General features: G+C 50.4%; 1 protein-coding gene and 2 long non-coding RNA genes across 5 annotated transcripts in view, besides 8 other annotated features; 2 read left to right on the top strand and 1 right to left on the bottom strand.

Annotated features, from left to right (window-relative positions):
* CTCF (CCCTC-binding factor) overlaps positions 1-1256 on the bottom strand; it is a 76652-nt gene extending 75396 nt beyond the window's left edge. For all 3 annotated transcript variants that reach the window (NM_006565.4, NM_001438969.1, NM_001191022.2), the window contains exon 1: positions 1058-1256. The gene's annotated coding sequence lies outside the window, so the exon portion shown is untranslated. The remainder of the gene's footprint in view (positions 1-1057) is intronic.
* Positions 38-900: an enhancer, noted in NCBI's record as "NANOG-H3K27ac-H3K4me1 hESC enhancer chr16:67596785-67597647 (GRCh37/hg19 assembly coordinates)". NCBI's record gives its function as "activates a minimal SCP1, AML or CMV promoter by ChIP-STARR-seq in naive and primed H9 embryonic stem cells {active_cell/tissue: H9 hESC(naive and primed)}" and the evidence as "EXISTENCE:reporter gene assay evidence [ECO:0000049][PMID:30033119]".
* Positions 38-1814: a biological region, named in NCBI's record as "NANOG-H3K27ac-H3K4me1 hESC enhancer GRCh37_chr16:67596785-67597647".
* Positions 185-284: a silencer, noted in NCBI's record as "silent region_7615". NCBI's record gives its function as "represses an Ori minimal core promoter by ATAC-STARR-seq in GM12878 lymphoblastoid cells {active_cell/tissue: GM12878}" and the evidence as "EXISTENCE:reporter gene assay evidence [ECO:0000049][PMID:35858748]".
* On the top strand, positions 332-14563 carry LOC124903703 (uncharacterized). Its single transcript, XR_007065094.1, has 2 exons — positions 332-487; positions 14435-14563. It is a non-coding gene; the product is annotated as an uncharacterized LOC124903703 (long non-coding RNA).
* Positions 805-1814: a silencer, noted in NCBI's record as "silent region_7614". NCBI's record gives its function as "represses an Ori minimal core promoter by ATAC-STARR-seq in GM12878 lymphoblastoid cells {active_cell/tissue: GM12878}" and the evidence as "EXISTENCE:reporter gene assay evidence [ECO:0000049][PMID:35858748]".
* Positions 1473-2371, top strand: CTCF-DT (CTCF divergent transcript). Its single transcript, NR_158165.1, has one exon. It is a non-coding gene; the product is annotated as a CTCF divergent transcript (long non-coding RNA).
* Positions 2045-2094: an enhancer, noted in NCBI's record as "active region_10978". NCBI's record gives its function as "activates an Ori minimal core promoter by ATAC-STARR-seq in GM12878 lymphoblastoid cells {active_cell/tissue: GM12878}" and the evidence as "EXISTENCE:reporter gene assay evidence [ECO:0000049][PMID:35858748]".
* Positions 2115-2164: an enhancer, noted in NCBI's record as "active region_10977". NCBI's record gives its function as "activates an Ori minimal core promoter by ATAC-STARR-seq in GM12878 lymphoblastoid cells {active_cell/tissue: GM12878}" and the evidence as "EXISTENCE:reporter gene assay evidence [ECO:0000049][PMID:35858748]".
* Positions 10585-11084: an enhancer, noted in NCBI's record as "H3K4me1 hESC enhancer chr16:67586601-67587100 (GRCh37/hg19 assembly coordinates)". NCBI's record gives its function as "activates a minimal SCP1, AML or CMV promoter by ChIP-STARR-seq in primed H9 embryonic stem cells {active_cell/tissue: H9 hESC(primed)}" and the evidence as "EXISTENCE:reporter gene assay evidence [ECO:0000049][PMID:30033119]".
* Positions 11085-11586: an enhancer, noted in NCBI's record as "H3K4me1 hESC enhancer chr16:67586099-67586600 (GRCh37/hg19 assembly coordinates)". NCBI's record gives its function as "activates a minimal SCP1, AML or CMV promoter by ChIP-STARR-seq in primed H9 embryonic stem cells {active_cell/tissue: H9 hESC(primed)}" and the evidence as "EXISTENCE:reporter gene assay evidence [ECO:0000049][PMID:30033119]".
* Positions 14564-15103: the final 540 nt, after the last annotated feature.

The raw sequence follows: 15103 nt of genomic DNA, 5'->3' as shown, positions 1-15103 counted from the left end.
GAGGGAAACTCAAGGGACTTAGCCCATACTCCCAAATTCAGAAATTTGTCACGTCACTTGAGATCAGAATGAAATTTAAGTTTCAGTCCCTTTGAGATCTCTGAGCGCACAAAGTCAGGCTGCTATCACTCGGCTGGGGAGTCCGAACCCGGCTGGATAAAAACTACTTGGTGCGGAACTCGCATCTTTTCCGCCCACCGTGGGGGGGCCGCACCGGTCGGGTCCGGCCAGGAACCCGGGCGCGAGTTTGGGGGCGCAGCGGGGGCGGCGAGCGCGCGTCCCCCCGCCCGCTCAGGCAGCGTAGAGGTGCGAGCAGCTCAGCCAGCCTTGCAGAGGGAGCTCTCGGCAGCTCTGGGGTCCCTCTGCTCGCAGCCGCTGCAGCGCCGCCTGCGCCACTCGGCGGAGACGGAGACCAGCGGCGGCGACGCGCGGACTGGGAGCGACCGCCGAGCAGCCAAGCAGCTGGGAAGGCACGCAGGCCGGCAGGGTAGGTTCCGGGGACGGGGCTGGCTGGAGGAGGGGCAGCCCGAGACGCGACGGCCAGGGCCCGACACCCATACGGCACCGGGACCTGGCTTAGCGCGCGGCGGCAGTCGGTCCGAACCCTTAAGCTAGGCGGGCGCCGAAGCCGGGACGCGGAGATAGTGTCTCAGCTGGGGCCACCCGCCGCGGGAGGGGCGGAGGACACAGGACAGAGGGCGGGCCGCGGCCGGGCGATCGGCCGGCCAAGAACCGGCCTCGAGGGCAGACAAAGGAAGGAAAATGGAGTCGCCGGGCGCGCGGGCCTCTGCCTCTGCCGCCGCCCGAGGCCTAGCGCGCTGCCAGGAGGGAGGCCTAGCGGGCGGGCGGGCGGGCGGGCGTGGGGGTGGGGGGGGCGGCCGGGCCACGGCGGCGACGGGCAATGGCGGCGGCCGCGCCGCAGCAGGGACGGTAGAGGGAGACAAACACCCCCCGGCGGCGGCGCTGGCGCCGGGCTGCAGCCAGCGCCGACCGGAGCGGCCCCATCGTGACACCTAGAGGCGGCCCGCGAAACCTCCTCCACCCCGGGCCCCCTTACCTCCGCGCCACACCCCCCGCGGCGCCCGCTCCGCCGCCGCTCCACGGCTCCGGCCACCCGGCGTCTCCGGCGAGCTCCGCGCGTCCGCACCGGCCACCGCCGCCGCCGCTGCCGCCAAAGAAGCAGCTCCGCGCACGGTTTAATCGCTCCACAGGCTCAGACACAAAATGGCGGCGGCGCGGTGCAGTGCGCCTGCGTCGGCGCTGCCGGGGCCGCGGGTGCTGATAAGGGAAGGGACGGGTGGGGGGACCGGCCGGGCGGCGAGTAGAGGGCGGGGGAGGAAAGGTGAGGGGAGGGGTTGGCGCAGGGCAGCATGGGAGGCGGCCCCGGGCGCCAACTTTCAAAAGCGGGCGCGATGGCGTCACGGGACGCGCCGCGAGTCGCGTCGTCACGCCGCACGCGCCCTCGCCGGGTCGCTCGTGGGCTCTGCCGGCGCCGCGGCGTCCTGGCTCCCGCTGGGTGGGGCTTCCTGGGCGGAGGCCGCCGCCCCTGGGCGGTGCCGGATCCAGTCCGCTTGACCTTATTCCCTAGCTGCTGTCTCCGGCCCCCTGAACCCGTACAGGGTTGGGGAAGTGGGGGTGGCTGGAGGAAGCGCGCGCGGGGCAAGCCAGTGGGGCTGAGGAGGCTCCCGGGCCCGGCCCCGCCCAGTCTCCGCCCCAGCCAGGCCCGACCCGCCCTCCGAATGTCTTACAGCTGCCCGCCCCAGAGTAAGGCCCGGTCGGTTCCCGCGCGCTCCCAGCTCCGTGCCCGCGAGCGACGACTGGAAGGGCTGTCCTTGCTCAGCGGCTTTTGGTGATCTCTCCGCCCTAGAAGAGGGCCACCTAAAAGCGGGTGCGAGAGGAGAGTGGGAGGGCCTCCTCTTGGTGTCCCCAGGCCACCTCAGCCCGGAGAGGTGGCGGAAAACCAGACTTGATGCTTTAACACGTTCATAGCAATCGCTTTTTACTGAAAGGAGTTTCTGTATTTAGCGCTGTGTAATTCTGTGGAAACGTGCATTTCTTGTCTTTGCGGGAGAGCTGTTCTCTGTGGGCGGAGACCTTCAGTCCCACCCCTCCCCAGGAGGCGCCTGCGGACCCTTCCCAACCTGCAGTCAAGTTGACCAAGAACTGACTGCAAGGTGCTGGTGGCTCTGGGATGAGAGCCTTTTGGTACTTACAGGGAATATGACTCTTCCCTTAGATATCAAATGGACCCAATATCTAGGGAGCAGCTTCTTCTCCATCCATCTGACCGTTCCGTTGTGAGAATGCTGGCCCAATAACATACTCTTTTTTTTTCCCCTAAAGGAATAAAAAAATCTGTATTTTTAAGATGTCAAATCTCCAGAGTTTTTAGATGTTAGCAACTGAATCAGATGTTTTTAAACTTCATGAGCTGATTAAACCACACAGATGAGCTGTCAGTTTACGACCCCTGGCTTGGCTTGGAGGAAAGAGTGAAGAGAAATTCCATGGCCAAATCCTGGGGCACTCCAATATTGGGAGGGTAATGGAGAAGGAGTCTGAAAGGCAGCATCTAGGAAGTCATGAAAGCTAGCGCTGAGTTGTGGAATCCCTGGGCAGAGAAGGTTTCAGGTAGGAGGCATCAGCTGAGCGGTGTGATAAACTTGGGCCAGAGATGTGGCTATTGGATTGGGTCACCTTGCAAGTCACTGGAGAATGTCACTGATGGCCTTGGCTTGATTCACGTGAGTATATCAGGGAGGTGGACCTGACCGGAATGGGTTAAACAGTCACCAGGAAAGTGAGGAAATGGAGACAGCACATGTATGCAATTTGAGAGAGGTTTTGCTGTGAAGGGACCAGATAAGTTTGGGGATAGATATAGAAAGAAATCTTTTAAAAGATAGTAGGGGCCGGGCGCAGTGGCTCACGCCTGTTATCCTAGCACTTTGGGAGGCCAAGGCAGGTGGATCACCTGAGGTCAGGAGTTCGAGACCAGCCTGGCCAATATGGTGAAACCCGGTCTCTACTAAAAATACAAAAATTAGTTGGGCATGGTATCGCGCGCCTGTAATCCAAGCTACTGGGGAGGCTGAGGCAGGAGAATTGCTTGAACCCGGGAGGCAGAGGTTGCAGAGAGCCAAGATTGGGCCACAGCACTCCAGCCTGGGCAACAAAGCGGGACTCCATCTCAAAAAATAATAATAAATAAAATAAAAGATGGTAGGGTTCCCAGAGCATGTTTATGTGCCATTGGGAGGGATATGGTGGGGAAGAAAGATGGGTGATCCAGGAGAGAGGAGGCTTGCTTGACCTATATAGGAGTGAAATCCATCAGAAGATATAAGGAAACAGGGAGGGTTGACCTTGGAGAGGAACAGGGATGCTTCCATTCATGATAAGGGCAACAAAGGTGAAGACAGATGCAAGTGCAGGGGAGAGGGAAGGCAAGTCCTTAACAGGATTGCCTTGGTGGCATTGGGTACTCATCTGAGGTTTGTGATCATGATGTTAAAGGTAAACCAGTTGGCCCAGTGTGTTGGTTTTTCTCCAACATTCAGCTGCTTGGGTACAGACATGAAGAAAAGGGATAGTACAGCTTCTCAACACCAGGACCCAATTTTTCTCATTTCTTTTTTTTTTTTTTGAGACGGAGTTTTGCTCTTATCGCCCAGGCTGGAGTGCAATGGTGTGATCTCAGCTCACCACAACCTCTGCCTCCTGGGTTCAAGCGATTCTCCTGCCTCAACCTCCTGAGTAGCTGGGATTACAGGCATGCGCTACCACCCCCGACTAATTTTGTATTTTTAGTAGAGATGGGGTTTCTCCATGTTGGTCAGGCTGGTCTTGAACTCCCAACCTCAGGTGATCCGCCCGCCTCGGCCTCCCAAAGTGCTGGGATTACAGGAGCGACTCACCGCGCCCGGCAAGTTTTCTCATGTCTAATCCCAGTTACTTACCTTATACAATTAGATACTATTTTAGAAATGTGTGAAGTATTTGAAAAATTTACACGTGACCCTTCTTTTTCTAGAAACCAAGTTATCCCATTTGCCTCTTATGTACACATTAGGACTCAGACATAAAGAAAAGACAAACTCAGAGGAAAATTACCAAACAGATGCTTCTGGAATATTTGCATTTTGCATTCTCCTCAGCCCAAATAGTTCCTGGTATACTTAAGAACTTATGTACTAGAAACAACAAAGCTGACATGCACATAGGGAGACCTTGTTTATACAAAAAATTTAAAAATTAGCTGAGTGTGGTGGCGTATGACTGTAGTCCCAGCTACTTGGGAGGCTGAGGTGGGAAGATCGCTTGAGCCCAGGAGGTCGAGACTACAGGGAGCCATGTGTGTGCCACTGTACTCCAGCCTGGGTGATGAAGCAAGACCCTGTCTCAAAAAAATAAAAAATAGGCCAGGCACAGTGGCTCATGCCTGTAATCCCAGCACTTTGGGAGGCCAAGGTAGGTGGATTACTTGAGCCCAGGAGTTTGAGACTAGCCTGGGTAACATGGCAAAAGCCCATCTCTACAAAAAATTAGCTGAACATGGTGGTGTGTACCTGTAGTCCCAGATACTTGGGAGGCTGAGGCAGGAGCATCACTTGAGCCCAGGAGGTTGAAGCTGCAGTGAACCCCGATTGCACCACTACATTCCAGCCTGAGTGACAGAGCAAGACATTGTCTCAAAAATAAAAAAAAAATTAAAAGCTGACTTGCATTTAAACTTTAGATTTTCTTTCTAGTAACATTAATAAGCTAATTAGTTCACTTTCTCAAGATTTTACTTCAAATCACCTTCCTTTTTTTTTGTTTTTTGTTTTCTTTTTGTGGAGATGAGGTCTCACTGTGTTGCCCAGGCTGGTCTCAGGCTCCAGCAATTCTCCTGTCTTGGCCTTCCAAAGTGCTGGGATGTAAGCCACCACACCTGTCCCCATCTTCTTTAAGAGTAGACTACAGGAACACCTTCTAAAGCTTTTATGTAGGCAAATATGAAGCAGTGGATTTATTTTTTTATTTTATTTTATTTTTAGATGTAATCTCACTCTGTCGCCCAGGCTGGAATGCAGTGGCTCGATCTCAGCTCGCTGCAACTTCTGCTTCCTGGGTTCAAGCAATTCTCCTGCCTCAGCCTCCCGAGTAGCTGGGACTACAGGTGTGCACTACCACTCCTGGCTAATTTTTTGTATTTTTAGTGGAGACGGGGTTTTGCCATGTTGGCCAGGCTGGTCTTGAACTCCTGATCTCAGGAGATCCGCCCACCTCAGCCTCCCAAAGTCTTGGGATTACAGATGTAAGCCACCACACCCAGCCTGAGGCAGTGGATTTAGAGGGAAAAAAGCCTCAATTATATTTATGATTATATTTACAACTATATATTAATTATATTTATAACTCTATGATCTCTGAGGCATCAAAAGCCAGGAATGGGGTCCAAGTGGCCTTGAAGCCTGCTTTCTGAAGACAAGGACCCTATGTACTGCTCTCACATAGGGCTGAGAAAATGCGAAGGATCACTAAGGAAGGAAGAAAAGAAAATATTTTCTGGCTGGGCGTAGTGGCTCACACCTGTAATCCCAGCACTGTGGGAGGCCGAGGCAGGCGGATTACCTGAGGTCAGGAGTTTGAGATCAGCCTGGCCAACATGGTGAAACCTCATCTCTACTGAAAATATAAAAATTAGCCAGGCGTGGTGGCACACCTGTAATCCCAGCTACTCGGGAGGCTGAGGCAGGAGAATTGCTTGAACCTGGGAGGTGGAGGTTGCAGTGAGCCGAGATTGCGCCACTGCACACCAGCCTGGGCGACAGAGCGAGACTTCATCTCAAAAATAAATAAACAAACAAAATATTTTCTTGTCTTTATGGTAAATCTTGATGTGTCCTACTTTATGGAGTCAGCTCCAAAGATGAAGGAACAGAAGGCCAAACAAAAGGAATAGAATGTTTGAGGCTGGAAAGAAACAAGCTGAGGGAAAATATGATGACAGGCTGTGAAACAGTTGAGGTGATAAAAATAAGGCTAGGCTGGGCACGGTGGCTCATGCCTGTAATCCCAGCACTTTCAGAGGCCGAGGTGGGCGGATCACTAGGTCAAGAGATTGAGACCATCCTGGCCAACATGGTGAAATCCCGTCTCTACTGAAAATACAGAAATTAGCTGGGTGTGGTGGCGTGTGCCTGTAATCCCAGCTACTCAGGAGGCTGAGGCAGGAGAATCGCTTGAACCTGGGAGGCGGAGGTTGCAGTGAGCAGAGATCGCACCACTCCACTCCAGCCTGGCGACAGAGTGAGACTCTGTCTCAAAAAAAAAAAAAAAAAAGATCTGGCCTTGAGCCTCACGTACAGGACCAGAAACCCAATGTGGTTTGTACCCTAAGAGCAGATTCCTTCCTCGGGGATTTGTCAGGCTCACAGGCGCTTGCTAGATAAGCAGAGTGCTGTTAACAACGGGCAAGTGGACCAGTGTCCTCGTGCTGGCAAAAGGCATATTGATCCCCTATAGGAGAGCATTCGGGGAAGCCAAATTACTAGAAATATTTGATGAGCAGTTAATTAGATTAACTAGTGTTAGTTATGTAACTTAAATGTTTAATGTCACCCTCTCTGGATGCTAGAATTAGATTGTTCGGGATTCAAGTCTAGTCTTGGTTTTTTATTAGCCGTGTGGTCTCTGTTGAATTCGTAACAACTCAACTATAGATTTCTCTTCTATAAAATGGGATGATAGGTTGGGCGTGGTGGCTCATGCCTGTAATCACAGCACTTTGGGAGGCCAAGGCAGGTGGATCACCTATGGTCAGGAGTTCAAGACCAAAAATACAAAAATTAGCCAGGTACGATAGTGGGTGCCTGTAATCCCAGCTACTCAGGAGGCTGAGGCGGGAGAACTGCTTGAATCTGGAAGGCAGGGGTTGCAGTGAGCCGAGATCGCGCCACTGCACTCCAGCCTGGGTGACAGAGGAGACTCTGTCTCAAAAAAATAAATAAATAAAATGGGATGATCATTGTGCTTGATACAGCCATAAGGATTAGACAAGAAATAAAGCAGCTTTTTTTTTTTTTTTTTTTTTTGAGACAGGGTCGCATTGTCCACTGTTGCCCAGGCTGGGGTGTGGAGTGCAGTGGCGAACTCTGCTCACTGCAACCTTTGCCTCAGCATTCTGAGTTGCTGGGACTATAGGCGAGTGCCAACACACCTGGCTAAGGTTTTTTGTTTTTTGTAGAGATGGGGGTCTTACTATGTTGCCCAGGCTGGTCTCGAACTCCTGGTGTGAAGCAATCCTCCTACCTCAGCCTCCCAAAGTGCTGGGATTACAGGCATGAGCCACTGCACCCAGCCAGAAATCATTATCCTATGATTCTCAGGAGAACAGTTGTATTTCCAAGATCTTCCTTGGCTCCTATTGTTACCCCTGTAAAGCTTGCAATAATTATGATCATTTACATGTTTTTTAAAAACTCTTTAATCAAGATAATCAACAAACGAAGGGGAGACATATTGATTTTCTAAGACATAATGAGCAGGGAATCTTCCTGCCCTCCTTGGGGTAAGGCCTAAAGTTACATGTGAACACTCTGGTTTTCTCTATACCTGTTGAGAACATGTGTGAGACATGATGCAGCTCATCAAGTAATTATTGAATACTTGGTGTGTGTAGCTTCCTGTTCTAGGCACTGGAGATTCAAAGATGACTCACGATGTGTTTCCTGCCCTTGGACTCAAAATTTAACTAGTAAAACTGGTTAAAACAAACACACAAAAAATTAATGCAATAACTGTTATAGTGGAAAGAAATGAGCTCACAGCTAAAGGAGTAAATCACTCCAGGAGTATCTCATTTCAGCTGGGTCTAAAGGATTAGCAAAGCATTAACAAGTGACACGAAGACATGTAAGGTGAAGAGCCATGATCAAAGGCATAAAAGTCTACAAGAGTATTTGGGGGACAGCGAGTCATCTTACACCATTGGATGAGGGTGTAGAGTAGTGATGCTAAACCTTTAAAGACATTTGGAAAGCTTTCATTGTCTGCCAACATCAACTGCCAAGCCTAACCACTTCTAACATTTAAATTTTTTTTTTCCCCAAGATGGAGTCTTGCTCTGTTGCCCAGCCTGGAGTGCAGTGGTGCAATCTTGGCTCATTGCAACCTCTGCCTCCCAGGTTTAAGCAATTCTCCTGCCTGAACCTCCCAAATTGCTGGGATTACAGACACGCACCACCATGCCCAGCTAATTTTTGTATTTTTAGTAGAGATGGGTTTCACCATGTTGGCCAGGCTGGTCTCAATCTCCTGACCTCACGATCTGCCTGCCTCGGCCTCCCAAAGTGCTGGGATTACAGGCATGAGCCACCAAGCCCGGCCTATTCTAACATTTTAAAGACTCATCCTTCCATATCATCTCCTGCCTAGACTGTAGGAGTTTTTTTCCTTATTAATGTCTGCTTTCTTCAGACCCCTGTGAAAGCCTTATTTATTTATTTATTTATTTATTTATTTATTTATTTATTTATTTATTTTGAGACGGAGTTTTGCTCTTGTTGCCCAGGCTGGAGTACAATGGCATGATTTTGGCTCACCACAACCTCCACCTCCCGGGTTCAAGCAATTCTCCCGCCTCAGCCTCCCAAGTAGCTGGGATTACAGGCATGCGCCACCATGCCCGGCTAATTTTGTATTTTTAGTAGAGACGGGGTTTCTCCATGTTAGTCAGGCTGATCTGGAATTCCCAACCTCATGTGATCTGCCCACCTCAGCCTCCCAAAGAGCTGGGATTACAGTCGTGAGCCACCACGCCGGCCTATTTATTTATTTATTTATTTTGAGGTGGAGTCTCGCTGTGTCGCTCAGGCTGGAGTGCAGTGGCGAGATCTCGACTCACTGCAGCTTCCGCCTCCCAGATTCAAGCAATTCTCCTGCCTCAGCCTCCTGAGTAGCTGGGACTACAGGTATGTGCCACCATGCCCAGCTAATGTTTTTGTATTTTTAGTAGAGATGGGGTTTCACCCTGTTAGCCAGGATGGTCTCGATCTCCTGACCTTGTGATCTGCCCGCCTCAGCCTCCCAAAGTGCTGGGGTTACCCCGGCCAGCCATATTTATTTTTTACCTCTCAGCTCAAATGACTGCTCTTAAAGGTATAAAGGACTGTTGCTAAACCTATATCCAATGTTTTAGAAGTTGATTTTGTTTTCTGTGCTGTTACTTACTTTTCCAAACATGCATGGATCACCCTTTATAATCCATCTCTATATTTTTCATTTTGCAAAACACCTTCATGTCTGCCTTTTCAAGTGATGCTCACAGCTCTATTTGATCAGCCAGGCAGTTTTGTCCTAAATTCAGAAATGAAGTGACTTGCTCAGGGTTGTCCGGCAACTTGTTGGCAAAATCAGAATGAGTACAGTAGTCTCCCCCTTGTTCACAGCTTCACTTTCTGCTATTTTCTGCTATTGGTTACACATGGTCAACTGCAGTCTGAAAATACTAAATGGAAACTTCCAGAAATCATGTTTCGAATTGCACACCATTCTGAGTAGAGTGGTGAAATCTCACAACATCCTGCTGCATACTGCCTGGAATGTGACTCGTTCCATTGTCCAGCATACCCATGCTGTATATACTACCCACCTATTAGCCACTTAGTAGCCATCTCAGTTATCAGATTGATAACACATACTATATATAGGATTCAGGACTATCCTTGATTTCAGACATCCACCAGAGAGCTTGGAACATATCCCCCATAAAAAATGGGGGACTGTAGGCTTGGTGTGATGGCAATCACGGCCTATAATCCCAGCACTTTGGGAGGCTAAGGTGGGTGGATCACGAGGTCAGGAGTTCGAGACCAGCCTGACCAACATGGTGAAACCCCGTCTCTACTAAAAATACAAAAATTAGCTGGTTGTGGTGGTGTGTGCCTGTCATCCCATCTACTCAGCAGGCTGAGGCAGGGGAATCACTTGAACCTGGGAGGTAGAGGTTGCAGTGAGCCAAGATTGCACCACTGCACTCCAGCCTGGGCGACAGAGCGAGACTCTGTCTCAGGAAAAAAAAAAAAAAAAAAGATGGGATCTCACTCTGTCACCCAGGCTGAAGTGCAATGGCGTAATCATAGCTCACTGCAGCCTTTAACTCCTGGGCTCAAGCAATCCTCCTGAGTCGCTAGGACTACAGGCACATGCCACCATGTCTGGCTAATTAAAAAAAAAAGAATTATTTATAGAGACAGGGTCTCACTATGTTGCCCAGGCTGGGAAGGGCTTTAATTGTGGAAACTTCAGGCTCTCAGGCAGACAGCAGAGGTATTTAGGTGATGACTTATTAATCTACAAGTATGTCCTGAATAACTGCTTAGGACCCAGGTCTATGTTCAAGGTTAGGTACTACCAGAGATAGATAGAGGATGTCCCTAGCCCTCGAGTGCCTTCTATTTCGTTTTATATTAGTGTGGAAATATCAGACTAAACCTTGAGTATTAGAAGGTAAAAGTCAAGGATGAAAAGGGAAGTGTAAAGGTATAGGCTACAGGTGTGGAAGGAATGGAGCGGAGCAGTCACTGGACATCACAGTAGTCATATGAAACCGCATGCTAAAGCGAGCATGACTTTCAAGCCTCTGCTTCTAGCCTTTACCCACTCTGGCCCAGGCTACTCTTGCTTCTTTTTTTTTTTTTTTTTTGAGATGGGGTCTCACTCTGTTGCCCAGGCTATCAGGCAGTGGTGCAGTCACAGCTCACGCAGCCCTAACCTCCCAGGCTCAAGTTATCCTCCTGCTTCAGCCTCCTCAGTAGCTGATGCTACAGGTGCACACCACCGTGCCCAGCTAATTTTTGTATTTTTTGTAGAGATGGGGTTTTGCCATGTTGCCTAGGCTGGTCTCAAACTCCTGAGCTCAAGCAATCCACCTGCTTCAGCCTCCCAAAGTGCTGGGATTATAAGCGTGAGCCACCAGGCCCAGACTCTTGCTTCTTCTAATGTAACTGCAGGCTCCTCCCTGCTTCCGGCCTCCTCCCTCTCACAGCTGCCAGAGTGACCTTCCCAAAGCACACACGTGATCACAAAACCCCCCTGCTTCAAGCCCACTGGTGGCTCCCCGGTACCCTGGGATAAATTCCAAACTCAGCCACTCCACAAGGCCTCCCATGCTCACCAAGCCCCTGCTCACCCCCTCAGCCTCATCTCTAACTGCCCCCTCTGGCCCCTGGGGATTCAGCTTGCTTGCTTCCTCCACCAGTCTGACCTCAGTCCTCCCTCCCTCTGTTGTCCCCTCCTCAGGCTTCTGTTCCATTCCTTAATTGGGATCCTGGTGGTGAAAGTGCATTCTAAAGCGCTATGCCCCATGGGGGGGACTAGGGAGAGTGTTTGAGTTTCCAGGCTTCTTCCACACTGAACATATGGTACTTTCACACTCAAAGTGCTTTTCAGGTTGCTTTTGACATAAGACAAGGCCATCAGTTGGGGAGGTGTATGTAAGGGAAACCAGAGCTAGAGACAGGTTTTAGAGGTATTCATCAGAAGATATTTCTGGACCACTTACTGTGTATCTGGCCTTGGGTGCTGGGCATAGCAAAGGCAGATGCAGCCTGAACAAATAGAGAATTGGCTGGCCCTACGCCAGATTTGCTGAATTGGAATCTCCAGGGAAGTTCTCAGGTGAATCTTAGAACTGGGTAAGTTGGAAAGCCCTAACCTGATTTCATTTGTAAGACATATCCAGGATAGGCAAATCTGTAGAGACAGAAAGTAGATTAGTGGTTGCCTGGGGGTAGGGTGGAGAATATGGAAGCGCAGGGATGACAGCTAAGGGGTGCAGGGTTTCTTTTTGGGTTGATGAAAATGTTCTAAAATTGTGGTGATGGCTGTGCAACTCTGAATATACTAAAAGCCATTGAATTGTACACTTTAAGTATTTATTTATTTTTTTGAGATGGAGTCTCACTCTTCACCTAGGTTGGAGTGCAGTGGCATGATCTAACTCACCGCAACCTCCACCTCCCGGGTTCAAGAGATTCTTCTGCCTCAGCCTCCCAAGTAGCTGGGATTAGAAGCATCCACTACCATGCCCAGCTAATTTTTGTATTTTTTAAGTAGAGACAACATGGGGTTTCACCATGTTGGCCAGGCTGGTCTGGAACTCCTGACCTCAGGTAGTCCACCTGCCTTGGCCTCCAAAAGTGCTGGGATTATAGGCATGAGCCACTGCGCCTGGCCAAATTGTACACTTTAAATGGTTGAATTGCATGGTAGGTGCGCTAAATCTCAAAAAGAGCTGTTTAAAAAAAATAAAAAGGCTGGGTGTGATGCCTCATACCTGTGATCCCAGCACTTTAGAAGGCCAAGGTGGGAGGATCACTTGAGGCCAGCCTGGGCGACATAGTGAGACCACCTCTTTAGCAGGGCATAGTGGTGTGTGCCTATAGTCCCAGCTACTTGGTAGGCTGAGGTAGGAGGATCCCTTGAGCCCAGGAGTTCAAGGTTACGGTGAGCTATGATCATACCACTGCACTCCAGCCAGGACAACAGAGCAAGACCCTGTCCCAAAAACAAAACAAAACACTTGGACCAAGTTCTAGAGGGAAGGCACCCACCTCAGACCTGGGTGGTTACCCAGTAAAATTGTCAGCATATATTATGAATGTATGTTCCAGAGGGTACAAAGTAAATAAGCAATTGCAGGCCAGGTGCGGTGGCTCACGCCTGTCATCCCGCACTTTGGGCGGCCAGGGTGGGTGGATCACCTGAGGTAAGGAGTTTGAGACCAGCCTGACCAACATGGAGAAACGCCGTCTCTACTAAAAATACAAAATTAGCCGGGTGTGGTGGCACATGCCTGTAATCCCAGCTACTCGGGAGGCTGAGGCAGGACAATCGCTTGAACCCAGGAGGCAGAGGTTGTGGTGAGCTGAGATCACGCCATTGCACTCCAGCCTGGGCAACAAGAGTGAAACTCTATCTCAAAAAATAAATAAATAAATAAAATAAGCAATTGCAATGAAGTGTGATTAGTCTTATAGAAGGGAAAGCGCAGGCTCCTGTGACAAGAGCAGGTGGGCATGCAGCTTGCTAAAGAAATATATGGGCCAGGTGCCGTGGCTCACACCTGTAATCCCAGCAGTTTGGGAGGCTGAGGCGGGTGGGTCACTTGGGGTTAGGAGTTAGAGACCAGCCTGGCCAACAAGGTGAAACCTCGTCTCTACTAAAAATACAAAAATTAGCTGGTTGTGGTGGCGGGCATCTGTAATCCCAGCAACTCCAGAGGCTGAGGCACAAGAATTGCTTGAACCCGGGAGGCAGAAGTTACAGTGAGCCGAGATTGCGCCACTGCACTCAGCCTGGGCAGCAGCGCAAGACTCCATATCAAAAAAATATATATTTAGGGCATTTAATTGGGAGGATTCTGATGGCTGGGATGTGGGTACAGAGGAAAGAGTAAGGATGAGGCTCTGTTATATGGCTTGGGTACCTGGGAAATTGGTAACCCCTAGAGCTGTTGGAGGAGAAACAAGTTTTGAGAAGATGTTGAGTCTGATTTTGAGCATGTTGAGTTTGAAATGCCCCAGATGTTCAAAAGGAAGTGTCCAGTGAGCAGCTGGATGTGGGGGTCTGGAAGCAAGGTAAGAACCATGTGAATGATTGGCATGCAGCCTCAGCATGTGGATGGAAGCCAGCAGAATGGGGAGGTCATCTAGGGGTATGTTTTGAGAGAGAGGAAAGGGCCTAGAATGGAACCCTGTGGGGCGATTTTTATTTTTTAAGTAGAGACAACATGGGGTTTCACCATGTTAAGACATGCCTGAGGAGGAGGAGAAGGTTGTAAGGAAATTAAGAGGAGACAGTTAGAAACCTAGGTGTTGCGTATAGCAATTCAGCTGCTCTCAGTCAGCATTCACTGAGTGTCCATATGCCCTGGGTGTATCTGGAGACAAGTGAGACTTGACCCTTGACATTAAACTCAGAGTAGTGGCCATCACCCAATTGCCGTCAACCTTCTGAAACAAGAGACCCCTTTCTCGCAGGCCAATGTCAGTCCTATTTTCTAAATGATAGATTGTGCTTCATTAGCAGTTTATATGAGGCACTGGAGTCCTTCCCAAGCTTACCCTCCTGTATCACCCAGGCCCAGAAAAGCCAGGCCTTGCAGCCAAGCCAAGAGCCTTCTGTCCATGGGAGATGGATGGCCTGAAAGGGACACTCCAGGATTGTCTGGGGTGGGGAGGGGGGTATGGAGGGAAAGGAGGGTCATGTCATATGTCTGGGGTTCAGCAAATTGTACCCACATACCAGGCACAGAAACATACAAGGAAGGCACCCCCGCTCTGTGGGCGAGACAAAGCAGCAATCCTCTTCCCACATGCCAACCCATCTTTTTCTTTGCCTTCACAAACGTGCCTTTTTTCTTTCTTCTTTTTTTGGTCCTCTGCAGCTTGGAATACATGAGGAAGAAGAGTGGGAGACAGGAGGAAAGGTAAGGTTGGGAGAGGGCAAGAGGAAAGGAGGAGAGTAGAGGGAACACTCCATCGATTGCCAGCACAATAAACTGTATCATGGACTACTTCAGCCTGGCCCCTGCTTTGCAGTGTGCGTGGAGCAGTTTCCTCTGGGCAGAGTCTCAGAGATGATGGCCAAGGCGACTGTGGCCTCAATGGACTTAACTGATAGGGCACTTCTCAGTGTGTCACAGGCCTTGGAGGCCCACTTCCATCTGTCCCCTCAGAGGCTGGGCAGACGCTTTCCCTGCCCTGATACCTTTGACTCATGATGGTATCGTCAACTGCCCATCACCTGAGGCAAGGGGCTCCCAACTGTCCTCAGTCCCAAACAGCAGGAACACCTGCCTCCCTGACCCACATGACAGCAGGGTAGGGGGTGGGAGAATGCTATGGGCAGGTTTGCCCTGTGGGAGGCCCCTGTGAGGCAGAGGGGGTCAGGAGAGATACAGAGGTGGGAGGACAAGGGTTCTCTCTGCCCCTCCACCATCTCAGGAACCTGGGCATGGGCCTGGGTGTAGGAGGCCATCCAGCCTGCCTTCAAGCCACTGATGGAGAGAGGCTGACTGGCTGTCCTGGGGTTGATTCATGCTGCTCTGAGCCAG

Source organism: Homo sapiens, chromosome 16 (genome assembly GCF_000001405.40).
Source record: "Homo sapiens chromosome 16, GRCh38.p14 Primary Assembly".
In the NCBI taxonomy this organism is placed as follows: Eukaryota; Metazoa; Chordata; class Mammalia; order Primates; family Hominidae; genus Homo; species Homo sapiens.
The sequence above is the reverse complement of the archived record's forward strand: the minus strand, read 5'-3'. Positions and strand labels throughout refer to the sequence as shown.